Raw genomic sequence first — 13,763 nt, 5'->3', positions numbered from 1 at the left:
ATTTTGTCTTTACCCCCAAGTACTTCTCATCCTTTATTACAGTGGAGCAAATCTCAGACATATCATTTCATCCACTAATTTTCCTGTATAAATCTATAAAAAAAACCATCACTACATGACCATTATATCCGAAAATTTTAACAATAATGCCTTAATATAGTGTAAGGAGTAAGGAGTAAGTGTTTAAGATCCAGACTTACAATATTGCCAAAAACAATTAACTTGACTCTCCTCAAGCCTCTAGACCCAACCACCACTGCAGAGGAAGTAACAGAGGGCTGAGGATGGCTATCGGGGAACCAGCCCCCGATATTTCAACATACGTTCTATTTTCCCTAAGTGTCGGCCAGTCTGAGAAATAAAGGGAAAGAACACAAAAGAGAGAAATTTTAAAGCTGGGTGTCCAGGGGAGACATCACATGTTGGCAGGTTCCGTGATGCCCCCTGAGCCACAAAACCAGTAAGTTATTATGGATTTCAAAAGGGGAGGGTTGTATGAATAGGGTGTGGGTCACAGAGATCACATGCTTCAAGGGCAATAAAATATCACAAGGCAAATGGGGCAGAGCGAGATCACAGGACCAGGGTGAAATTAGAATTGCTGATGAAGTTTCATGTCCCACTGGGCATGCATTATCAGTGATAACATCTTATCAGGAGACAGGGTTTGAGAGCAGACAATCGGTCTGACTAAAATTTACTAGGCAGGAATTTCCCAATCCTAAGAGGCCTGGGGTGCCACAGGAGACTGGGGCTTGTTTCATCCCTCATCTACAACCGTGTAAGACAGACACTCCTAGAGTGGCCATTTTAGAGACCTCTCCCTAGGAATGCATTCTCTTTCTCAGGGCTGTTCCTTGCTGAGAAAAAGAACTCAGTGTTATTTCTCCTATTCGGTTTTGTAAGAAGAGAAATATGACTCTGTTCTGTCCAGCCCCTCAGGCAGTCAGGCCCAATGGTTATCTCCCTTGTTCCATGAAAATCGCAGCCATCCTGTTCCTTTTGGATGCCCAGATTTCATATTGTTCAAACACACATGCTCCACAATTTGTGCAGATAATGCAATCATCACAGGGTCCTGAGGCAACATACATCCTCAGCTTATGAAGATGACGGGATTAAGAGATTAAAGTAAAGACAGGCATAGGAAATCACAAGAGTACTGATCAGGGAAGTGATAAACGTCCATGACATTTTCACGATTTATGTTCAGAGATTGTAGTAAAGACAGGCGTAAGAAATTACAAAAGTATTAATTTGGGGAACTAATAAATGTCCATGAAATCTTCACAATTTATGTTCTTCTGTCACGGCTTCAGCAGGTCCCTCCATTTGGGGTCCCTGACTTCCCGCAACAGATGGCATTCACTTGGAAGCTGTGCAGTCAGAAACCAGATCATGGGAAACGCCACAGGACAAATGACCAGCTTTGTTCAACAACTGAATTACCAGGAAAAATTCAAAAGCGAGATATGAAAGAGGAACCTATACATAAAGAGACTTAAGAGACATAGCAAGCAATCTCAATGTGTGGCCTTTATTTGGTCCTAATTCAAGAAAACAAAATGTAAAAAGAAAAAGAGACATTTATGAGACTTTTTCAGAGAGGCATTTCCTGACCATCTAACCTAAACCATCTTCCCCAATTATTATCACATCATGCTTTATTTCACAGTACTTAACACTATCTGAAATTATACCGTTTTATTAAAGAATGACTCCCTCCATCTAATGGAGGCTCCATGAACACAGCCACCTTTGCCTGTCCTACTCACCATGAATTCCTATATGAATGATTAAATTAATTTGAACAGACCTTGGTTTCAGTACTGGTTCTACAATTTACTAGCTAAGAGTATTCCATTTTAACAAAATGTTGAGTCTTCTGATCCATGAATATGGGATGTATTTTCATTTATTTAGGTTGTCATTAATTTCAACAATGTTTTATAGTATTCATTGTATAAGTTTTGCACTTCTTTTGTGAATTTATCCTACCCATTCTGTCTCCTACCCTTCTAGGACTCTGATTACACATATATTGGACTGCCTGATATTGTTGCATAGATCGTAGAAATGCTCTATCCATTTTTTTTCCATCTCTCTGACCTTCATTTTAGATAATTTCTATTGATACGTCTTCGAGTTCACTGTTCTTTTGTAGTATTCACTCTGCTGTTAAGCCTATTTTGTTTTTTATTTCACGTACTAGATTTAAACTTCAAATACAGATAACGACTTGCGTTTTTGTTTTTTTTTTTGAGATGGAGTCTCGCTCTGTTTCCCAGGCTGGAGTGCAGTGGTGTGATCTCGGCTCACCACAACCTCTGCCTCCTGGGTTCAAGTGGTTCTCCTGCCTCAACCTCCCGAGTAGCTGGGACTACAGGGGCGCGCCACCATGCCGGCTAATTTTAGTATTTTTAGTAGAGATGGGGTTTCACTATGTTGGCCAGGCTGGTCTTGAACTCCTGACCTCGTGATCCGCCCGCCTTGGCCTCCCAAAGTGCTGGCATTACAGGCGTGAGCCACTGTGCCCGGCCTTTCCATTGGTTTTTTTAAGCTTCCATTTCTCTGCTGAGATTCCTTATTCAACCACTGTTTCAACTATTTTCCCATAAGCCCTATGAACATGACAGTTAAAGTCTGTCTCCAGTTCCAATATCTGAATCATCTATAGGTTGGTTTTTGCTGATTTTAAAAATTTAATTGTGGGTGTCACTCTCTTTTTTGGTTGCTCTGTATGTTTGTATTATGGAAGAACAGTGGTGACTGAAGAACATTAATGCTTTTCCTAGAGAGTGAGAGCTCCCATTTCGTCTGATTAAAGTGAGGAAATAATTATTCAGATTTCACTAAGGGTTGATCTGGAACAGAGTCACAGATTTAAGAAGACTGAGCTCACCTCTGGTTAGCCCAACAGTCTCCACTTAGGTTTTAGGTTATTGGTCTGTAAGTATCTGAGGTGGGAGGCAAGAGGAAGTATCACCTTTCAAACAAGAGTTCCAGAAAACAGGAGAATGTAAGACCCTGTGAGTTCTTTCTACTTTTTAGTGCTGCTTTAGTTCCTTTTTCTTTGCAAAGTTGGGGAGGATTAGCGGGGGAGAGCTGGAGGATATGTATGCTGAATAAATTATTGTTGCACTTACAAGTCTTTCAGATCCCAATCTGAGTTTTTAATTTTTATATCTGACTGAGGCCAGGTGTAGTGGCTCACGCCTGTAATCCCAGCACTTTGGGAGGCCGAGGCAGGCAGATCACCTAAGGTGAGGAGTTCGAGACCAGCCTGGCCAACATGGTGAAACTCCAACTCTACTAAAAATACAAAAAGTAGCCAGGTGTGACAGTGAACACCTGTAGTCCCAGCTACTACTTGAGAGGCTGAGGTGGGAGAATTGATTGAACCTGGGAGTCGGAGGTTGCAGTGAGCTGAGACTGTGCCACTGCACTCCAGCATGGGCGACAGAGCAAGACTCCGTCTCTAAATAAATAAATAAATTTGACTGACTGAGACAGGGTTCTCACTTTGTCACCCAGGCCAGAGTGCAGTGATAGGAACATAGCTCACTGCAGCAGCCTTGACCTCCCGAGCTCAAGTGATCCTCCCACCTCAGCCTCCTTAGTAGTTGGGACTACAGGCATGCACTGCCACGCCCAGCCAACTTGTGGGTCTTTTTTTTTGTAGAGATGGAATTTTGCCATGTTGCCCAGGCTAGTCTCAAACTCCTGAGCTCAAGCAATCTGCCCATCCCAGCCTCCCAAAGTGCTGGGATCACAGGTGTGTGTGCCACTGCGCCCAGCCTTAGCATATGGTTTTCAAAGTTTATCTATATGTAGCATGAATGAGAACTTCATTCCTTTTTATTATTTATTTTTTTGAGATGGAGTCTCACTCTGTCGCCCAGGCTGGAGTGCAGTGGCGTGATCTCGGCTCACTGCAACCTCCGCCTCCTGGGTTCAAGCGATTCTCCTGCCTCAGCCTCCCAAGTAGCTGGGACTACCGGCGAGCTTCACCATGCCCAGCTAATTTTTGTTTTTAGTAGAGACGGTGTGTCACCATGTTGGCCAGGATGGTCTCCATCTCTTGACTCATGATATGCCTGCCTCAGCCTCCCAAAGTGCTGGGATTAAAGGTGTGAGCCACCATGCCCAGCCGAGAACTTCATTCCTTTTGTTTTTGTTTTGTTTTGTTCTGAGACGGAGTCTCGCTCTGTCGCCCAGGCTGGAGTGCAGTGGCGCGATCTCGGCTCACTGCAAGCTCTGCCTCCTGGGTTCATGCCATTCTCCTGCCTCAGCCTCCCGAGTAGCTGGGACTACAGGCACCCGCCACCACGCCTGGATAATTTTTTGTATTTTTAATAGAGACAGGGTTTCACTGTGTTAGCCAGGATGGTCTCGATCTCCTGACCTCGTGATCCGCCCGCCTCAGCCTCCCAAAGTGCTGGGATTACAGGCGTGAGCCACTGCACCCGGCCAAGAACTTCACTCCTTTTTATGGCTGAAAAATATCCCATGGAATGTATATACCACATTTTGTTTATCCATTCATCTGCTGTTTGACACTTGGGTTGTTTCCACCTTTTGGCTACTGTGAATAATGCTGCAATGAACATTGATGTACAAGTATTTGTTCGAATCCCTTTTTTTCAATTCCTTTGGGTATTCTACCCCAGAGCAGAATTGCTGGGTCATATGGTAGAAGTACTATATTTAGCTTTTTGAGAAACCACCAAACTATAGTAGCTGCACAATTTTGCATTCCCATCAGCAATGTATGAGGGTTCTAATTTCTTTGTATCATTGCTAACACTGGTTATTTTTATTTTTTACTTTTTAAATGATAGCCATCCTAGGGGGTGTGAAGTGGTATCTTATCTAATTGTGGTTTTGATTTTCATTTCCCTCATTAGTTTAATGCTACTTGATCACCTTTTCATGTAATTACTGGTCATTTATTTTGCTTGCCCCCATCACTGCCAACAGCTCCTTCTCCAGCCAGTACATTTTCTCAGTCTTTGGCAAGTCCTCTCTACTACCTGCTCAAACCCAGACCTGGCATCTGCCCCCAGCAGCTGCTGTGCCACAGTGCTCACACCTATGATGGGCTCCACTCTCTGGAAACCAGTTCAACAAGGCTTTCTGCCACTCTTCAATGGTCCCATTATGACAGATATTTTCCAAAGATGATCACAGCAATACTTCTAGTCACATATGCTCTTCTAGAGCAAGAGGCGGCCTCTGTATCTCCTCTTGAACCTGGATGGGACTTTGTGAGTGCCTTGATGAAGAGGATGCAGCCTAAGTGATGTTCTGTGACTTCTGAGGATAGGTCATAAAAGGTTATACAGCTTCAGCATGGCTCTTCCTCTTTCTTGGAATGTTCCTCCTTGGAACCTAGCCACCACGTTGTGAGGAAGCCCAGGCTACATAGGCCAAATGTAGGTGTTCAGCTAACAGCTCCAGCTAAGGTCTGAGCCAACAGCCAAGCCAACCACTGACATCAGAGTGAGCCTTCAGATGACTCCTGCCTCCAGTCTTCCCTTCTTCCAGCTGAGATCACAGATACTGTGAAGACAAGCCATCCCTACTAAGTCCATCTGAAGTTATGACCTACAGAATCCAAGACTATAATAAATAAGTAGCTGTTGCAGGCTACTAGGTTTTGAGGCAATTTGTTATACAGCAGTAAATAATTCCAATACTGCCAGAGTAAGTGTGACTTCTACATCATCTGGATTTTTCTTGGTGTTATTATGGCAGTGAAGGTTTTCTATATTCTTTTACATCCTAGCCAGAATCTGCCTAGCATCTTTAGAGTTTTCTGAGGATACTTCTGCTACCTGAAAGTTCATTCATTTCCACAATGCCTATCATGTGCCAGACATAGTCCTAAGCATTGGAGATACAGCAATCAATAAAAACAATAAGGCCCCTGCCATCATAGAAAAAACCTTGATTTCAATCTTTGGCCCTTCCAATTGCATACATAATTTCCGTGGTGGAAGAATACGGAGTGGAAGGGGAAGTAACAATATGGAGTTTATCACAGTGATGTTTTCTATTTCTTTGGCTCAACATTGTGCTTGTTAGTTATACATGGAGCTGAAATCTGCTCCTTTTCATAGCTGGATAATATTCTACTATGAGACCAGGTATGGTGTCTCATGCCTGTAATCTCATCAGCACTTTGGGAGGTCCAGGTGGGAGGATCACTTGGGCCAGGAGTTACAGACCAGCCTAGACAATACGGTGAGACCCCATCTCTACAAAAAACTGAAAAAATTAGTTGGGCGTGGTGGTGCACCTGTGGACCTAGCTATTCTGGAGAACTGATAGGAGGACTGCTTGAGCCCAGGAGATCAAGGCTGCAGTTACCTGTGACTGTGCCACTGCACTCCACCCTGGGTGACAGAGTGAGATCCTGTCTCAAAAAAAAAGAAAAGAGGGTTGGGCACAGTGGCTCATGTCTCTAATCTCAGCACTTTGGGAGGCCGAGGCAGGCAGATTGCTTAAGCCCAGGAGTTCAAGACCAGCCTGGGCAACATGTGAAACCCCGTCTCTACAAAAAAATACAAAAAATTAGCCAGGCACAGTGTGTGCACCTGTAGTCTCAGCTACTTGGGTAGCTAAGGCAGGAGAATCACTTGAGCCTGGGAGGCAAAGGTTGCAGTGAGTGGAGATCGCATCACTGCACTCCAGCCTTGACGACAGGAGTAAAACCCTGTCTCAAAAAAAAAAAAAAGAAAAAAGAAAAAAATTCTATGTGGAATAATGTAAATTTACCTACCCATATGAATGCTGACAAACATTTGGGCTGCTTCTAGTTGTAAGCTATTATAACAATGTTGCTATGAATACACTTGTATCCTGATACATACGTGCACGAATTTCTTTAAAAAACAAATTTAGGCTGGGCATGGTGGCTCATGACTGTAATCCCAGCACTTTGGGAAGTCGAGGTGGGCAGATCACCTGAGTTCAGGAGTTCAAGGCCAGCCTGGCCAACATGGCGAAACCCTGTCTCTACTAAAAATACAAAAATTAGCTGGGCGTGGTGGTGGGCACCTATAATCCCAGCTGCTCGGGAGGCTGAGGTTGAATCCAGCAGGCAGAGGTTGCAGTGAGCCAAGACCATGCCACCACACTCCAGCCTGGGCAACAGAGTAAGGCTCCGTCTCAAAAACAAAACAACAACAAAAAAACAAACCTAGGCCAGCTATAGGAGCAGTACATTTTATTTCTCTGTAGTATTGGGCTGTATGAATATACCACAATTTATTTATGCATTCTTTAGCTCATAAGCATTTGGGCTGTTTCCTGTGTTTAGCTATTAAGAATATTCTGCTGTGAACATTCTTATCAATATCTTTTGGTGAACAAAGGCACTCATTTCTGTTGGTTACATATTCAGGGTAGATTTGCTGGGCCAAGAGGGATTTTGTATATTAGTTTTGATACTGCCAAATGGTTTTCCAAAGTGGTTAATATGAATTTACACTCTCACTAGCAATATGAGTTCCCAGTTGCTCTTCTTCCTCACCAATACTTGGTACTGTCAGCCTTTTAATTTAATTTGGGTATAGCTGTCTTTCTTTTTGAACTATAGGAAAGCTTTACATATTCTGAATACAATTACACTGTTGGTTACATAGGCTACAATTTTCCTATTTAATGGCTTGTTTTACCCTAAAATTAAGAGGGCCATAATTTTAGTGAGGTCAAATTTTCCTTCTTTCCAAACAGTATCTCTTAGAATTTCTTTTGTTTTTTGAGATGGAGTCTTGCTCTGTCGCCCAGACTGGAGTCAGGTCTGCTAGACATAAATTATTTCAGTATTTGCTTATCTGAAAAAAAGTCTTGATTTCTCTTCATTCTTTATAGATATTTTTTTGCTGGATTTAGAAATGCTAGGTGGCCAGTTCTGGCTTTCATGGTCATTGCTGAAAAGTCTGCTGTCAGTCTGCCTATGGCACCCTAGAAGATAATCTGTCTTTTTTCTCTAGTTGCTTTTAATATTTCATCTTTGGTGTTCTTCAGTATCACTAGGACAGGTCTTAGAATCAGTTTCCTTTTATGCATTCTCGTTTGGCACTTGTTGGGCTTCTGAATCTGTGGATTACTATTATCGATTAGTTTTGGAAGGTTCTGTCTTTCTCTCTTCTCCTTCTGGGACTCTGATTAAATGTGTGTTGGATTTTCTCCTACAGGATTTTTTCTCTTTTGTATCTTTCATTTCGCTCTCTGTGATGCATTCCAGGTAACTCACCTTAACCTACCTTCTAGTTAGGTCAGCAAACTACAGCGCAGGGGCCAAATCCAGCTCACTGCCTGTTTTTGTAAACAAAGCTTTACTGAACACAATCATGCGCATTCGTTTACATATTGTCTACGGCTGCTTCTGCACTACAATGGCAGCGTTAAGTGCTTCTGACAGAGGCTATCGATAGCCCTCAAAGCTGGAAACGCTGACTACCACATTCTGTTCTAGAGCACCACTGCTCCTTTCAGTGGGTCTAATCTGCTCCAAATACAGCCACTGAGTTTACACCTGAGTTTAATCATTACATTTTCCTAGAAATTCTATTTGGTTCTTCTTCAAATTTGCTATGACACTTCTTAAGATTTTATATTCCTTACTGGTATTTTCAAGTTTGTCTTTGATTTCTTCTAAACTCTGTAAGCCCCAGCTGATTTACAGTTTAGGTAGTCTGTGCAAAGGTGATTTCTGACGCTTATTCTGGCTCTTGCTCATAGTTCCTGGTTTCCTTGTGTGTCTCATTGAGGGACAGAAATTACTTGTAAGAGTAATTCGAAGGCTAAGTAAAGTTCCTTTCCTTCAGGGTGGGCCTGCGCTGCCTCTGCCAGACACCTGGAGGCAGCATCACTCTGGAACCATATCAGTCTAGTCAGGGGCTGAGACCTGTCAACATGGAGTCCCAGCTGAAGGGTCTCTTTTAGACTCCCCACTTTGTGCATATCTTAGTTGGTGATTTTTGTCCCTTTACCTTTGGGGTTATTAAATAGAAAATTCACATTTTCTCAGATTAGTAAATGCTGTCAGGGCACAACTGGCTTCTGGGCTCCACTTCTCTAGGTCCCCATTTTCCTTTTGGCTTGGTAAAATACCTTGTTAGTTTATTGGTGCTTTTAAAGACAAGGTTTTTATGTTTTATCTAGCATTTTTTAGTAGTTTTCAGTAGGGAACTTGGTTCCCTTGAATGACTTAGTCCTCTACTACCAGAAACTGGAAATCAGAAGTTTCACTTCTCTCTTAAGAAAGATCACTGACTAGGACAGAGCCTATCTTCAAAGGAAAACAGAGATGATAAAGAAAATTTCTTCCTGAAGATGTATAAGAAACATATATTATGCCTACCACTTTATTAACTGCCGGACTAATACAAATTCTACCTTCAGAAAGTCACAATCCTTTCTGATAAATTAGGGTATCTTTCTTCATAAGGGCTCCTTAGGAGGTTACTATGATCTAAATGATCTAAATGCAGCCGGTGTCTGATGTAACAGTCAATTTAACCTCTCTGGGCCTTCGGTGTCCTCATCTCTTAAATGGCGATAATAATCGCACCTATCTTATGGAGGTGCTGTGATGCTTACATGAGTTAATTTGTATAAAAGACTTAAAATTGGCTGGGTACAGTGGCTCACGCCTGTAATCCCAGCACTTTGGGAGGCTGAGGTGGGCGGATCACGAGATCAGGAGATCGAGACCATCCTGGCTAACACAGCGAAACCCCGTCTCTACTAAAAATACAAAAAATTAGCTGGGTGCGGTGGTGGGCACCTGTAGTCCCAGCTACTCGGGAGGCTGAGGCAGGAGAATGGCGTGAACCTGGGAGGCAGAGCTTGCAGTGAGCCGAGATAGCACCACTGCAGTCCGGCCTGGGCAAAAGAGCGACACTCGGTCTCAAAAAAAAAAATAAGTAAATAAATAAATATAAATAAATAAATAAATAAAAGACTTAAAATTATGCCTGGCACATAGATAACTGCTAGCTACATAAAATCAAACAGCTCAGTTCACCAAAAGGAGTCTCTGGGCTACATATAGCGTAGCAGAGGGGATATATATGTTGCCAAATCTTCTTCCTCTTTTTTCTTTTTAAACAACCACTTAAAAATATAAAAACTGGCCAGGCACAGTGGCTCACGCCTGTAATCCCAGCACTTTGAGAGGCCAAGGCGGGCAGATCACCCTGAGCTCAGGAGTTAAGAGACCAGACCAGCCTGGGCAACGTGGCAAAACCCCGTCTCAACCAAAAACACAAAAAGAAAAAAAAAAATAGCTGGGTGTGGTGGCACAAACCTATAGTCCCAGCTACTTGGGAAACTGAGGTGGGAGGATGACTTGAGCCTGGGAGGCGGAGGTTGCAGTGAGCCAAGATTGTGCCATTGTCCTCCAGCCTGGGCAACAGAGTTAGACTCTGCCTCCAAAAACAAAAACAAACAAACAAACAAAAATATATATATGTGTGTGTGTGTGTGTACACACATATATGTATACATATAGACACACACACACAAACACCATTCTTAGATTAAGAAGTTAAACAACAACAAACCCCCCAAAAGCCAAACAGTGTATTTAGCCCACAGACTGAAGTTTGTCAACCCTTGGCCTAACAGGCAGGGGACTGATAGAAATCATGCAATGTGGTCAGGCGTGGAGGATCGTTTGAGGCCAGCAGTTTGAGACCAGCCTGGACAACATAGCGAGACTGTGTCTCTACAAAAATAAAAAATTAGTTGAGTGTTATGGTGCATGCCTACAATCCAAACTACTGGGGAGGCTGAGGCAGGAGGATTGCTTGAGCCCAGGAGTTTATGGCTAGAGTCAGCTGTGATTGTGCCACTGTACTACAGCCTGGGCAACACAGCAAGATCCTGTGTCTAAAGAAAAAAGGAATCAGGCAATGTGCTTTCAAAATACTTTCTCAGAAGACTGTGGAAGGAGGATCAAAATTCTAGTGATCCTCTTTAATCAGAGGCTGAGACTTCTGCACCTCCAAGGCAGCTGAAGGGAGTACAGCTTAAGAACCACACAGGGCTATATTTGCTGGATTTAGATATACAACACGAACTGACTACATTACAGTGAAGAAAACTGAATGGGTTTGATACATGTTGACGTGAATGAAGACAAATGCATATTTACCTGGCCAAAGACTATTCCACCAGTACTGGCTGCTTGACCAAACACAGAACCAGTATTACTAGACCCAAAACCTGTAAAATACAAAGAAAACAAAAATTCAATTTGGATTGGATGAGTCTTTTACAACATTAAAGTTTTGTTGTTTTTTTTTTTTGAGGCAGAGTCTCGCTCTGTCACCAGGCTGGAGTGCAATGGTGGGATCTTGGCTCACTGCAACCTCTGCCTCCCAGGTTCAAGCGATTCTCCTGCCTCAGCCTCCTGAGTAGCTGGGACTCAAGTGTGTGCCACCATGCCCAGCTAATTTTTTTTTTTGAGATGGAGTCTTGCTCTGTCGCCCAGGCTGGAGTGCAGTGGCGCGATCTCGGCTTACTGCAAGCTCCGCCTCCCAACGCCCAGCTAATTTTTGTATTTTCAGTACAGACGGGGTTTCTCCATGTTGGCCAGGATGGTCTTGATCTCTTGACCTCATGATCCACCCACCTTGGCCTCCCAAAGTGCTGGGATTACAGGTGTGGGCCACCGCACCCAGCCTAAGTTTATTTCTTTTTAAATGACATTCAGGTGTGCTAAGATAGCCCATAATAAATCAACTTATGAATAAAATGTTTCCTCATCTAGTATGGAGAAAAGTCTGAGCAAATACTTTAAAGACCATTTTTCATTGCTAACATTTTAAAATAGTGTAAGTTCTAAAGCCCTGGGGAATGAATCCTCTCCTACCAAACCCCACGTGGATGGGGGCTAAGAATAGTTTATCCTCACTTTCAGTGACCAGAAATTCTTTCTAATGACTTAATATTATGAATATTTCTACTCCTCGGTTTCTTCTGAATCTCAGATACCACATTCTTTTCAGGGTAGTTTATCTTTCTTCCAGATGGCATAACATGGTTGAAGTGCTGAGCTGAACAGGGCCTGGGAACATGAGGCAGAACTATACAACAAAAGAGCTCCAGACAAGGAGTGAGAAGGCAGGAGTTCTACTCTCGTTTCTTTTCTTTTTTTAATGGAGATGGAGTCTCGCTCTATTGCCCAGGCTGGAGTGCAGTGGCACGATCTTGGCTCACTGCAACCTCCGCCTCCCAGGTTCAAGCGATTCTCCTGCCTCAGCCTCCCAAGTAGCTGGGACTACATGCGCCTGCCACGACGCCCAGCTAATTTTGTGTTTTTAGTAGAGATGGGGTTTCTCCATGTTGGTCAGGCTGGTCTCAAACTCCTGACCTCAGGTGATCCACCTGCCTCAGCCTCCCAAAGTGTTAGGATTACAGGCGTGAGCCACCGCGCCCGGCAATGTTTGTGTTTTTAGTAGAGATGGGGTTTTACCATGTTGGCCAGGCTGGTCTCAAACTCCTGACCTCAAGTGATTCCCCTGCCTCGGCCTCCCGAATTGCTGGGATTACAGGCGTCAGTCGCCATGCCCAGCCTCTATTCTCATTTCTGTCACTGATTGGGTAGGTGAGCTTAGACAAGACTCAATTCCTCAACTAGGGCTGAAGTAGACAGCTCAGATACCTTTCCGCACAGATACTAAATGAAAGAAGATTCCTTCCTGGGTTCTGAATTTGTTGAAATAGTATGACCATGCCTGTGCATGAGGTCTTCTCAGGTTCTGACTGCAGAGCAAATGGTGTGGTAGTGATACGGACTGTGTTACACGTTCTCCTCTAAGACTCATAGGGCCTTCTCCTTGCCCATTTTCTGGACCAAGTCAGCACATTTCCCATCATTCAGCAGCCCTCTGGCCTCTTCACAGGGCATTGGGTAGGTCTCAAAACCATATCTGTCTTTTCAACACCGTGTCCTTATAGCTGAATTTAGGAGGAGTGTAACAAACATTTGTTGAAGAAAGGAAAATGTTTCCTTTCTAATAAATTATGAACCATTTTCAAGTTATCATCGAATAATGAATTAGCAGTTACTAGTAATCTTGCCCACCATGAAATCATTGATCCTTGCTTTTCTCCTAGAGTCTATTGCTGAAGAATTACCTTTCATAAGATAACTTTCAGAAAGCAAATCTCAGGACAGATTTTCAAATTGCCTTGCTTATTGATAACTTTTAGAAGTAAAAGTAGCTGCTAAAATGGAAAATGCAATAGAGAAGAATTAGGTTTCACTGTCAAAAACAGTAAACTGTAGTTTTTACAAAAAGTCATAACACTGAAAATAGAAAAGAACCCAAATCAAATGTCAGTGACTGCCATTACAGTAAGAAAGATGGTGTCAGAGGAGACAGAAAACACTGGCAGGGCGGTGGACTATGATGACACTTGGACTCTCCTGCTGGTTCCACTGGCACTATCCTGACATTAGAGCAGTCTCCTTGAGGCTTGACAGCTTTGGGTATAATGATCTCTACAGTGCCTTCCAAATTTGAAATTTCCTATTTATTGTTCATTAAATTACTTGGCAGGACCTCAACTAAAGATGCTTGATTTTTCCCCATGAAACACACTCTGGTGGCTTGCAGAGTGGACAATTTGCTAAGAAGCAAAACTGGAGCTGCATTAAGCTGTAACAGATCCAGCCAATTAGGCCAAACAAGTTCCTGAGACCACATGTGCTCCAAGCTGTCTTCTTTAACCTACAGATT

General features: G+C 43.0%; 1 protein-coding gene across 3 annotated transcripts in view, besides 1 other annotated feature; it reads right to left on the bottom strand.

Moving 5' to 3' along the window:
• Positions 1–13,763, bottom strand: part of NUP214 (nucleoporin 214) — a 109,078-nt gene that overhangs the window by 21,776 nt on the left and 73,539 nt on the right. For all 3 annotated transcript variants that reach the window (NM_005085.4, NM_001318324.2, NM_001318325.2), the window contains one exon: positions 11,171–11,241. In NM_005085.4, the coding sequence (NP_005076.3) occupies positions 11,171–11,241 (71 nt within the window). The remainder of the gene's footprint in view (positions 1–11,170; positions 11,242–13,763) is intronic.
• Positions 8,126–8,680: an enhancer, noted in NCBI's record as "OCT4-NANOG hESC enhancer chr9:134079595-134080149 (GRCh37/hg19 assembly coordinates)". NCBI's record gives its function as "activates a minimal SCP1, AML or CMV promoter by ChIP-STARR-seq in naive H9 embryonic stem cells {active_cell/tissue: H9 hESC(naive)}" and the evidence as "EXISTENCE:reporter gene assay evidence [ECO:0000049][PMID:30033119]".

This window comes from Homo sapiens, chromosome 9 (genome assembly GCF_000001405.40).
Source record: "Homo sapiens chromosome 9, GRCh38.p14 Primary Assembly".
Classification (NCBI taxonomy): Eukaryota; Metazoa; Chordata; class Mammalia; order Primates; family Hominidae; genus Homo; species Homo sapiens.
Note: the sequence above shows the minus strand (reverse complement) of the source record. Positions and strands in the feature narration are given on the sequence as shown.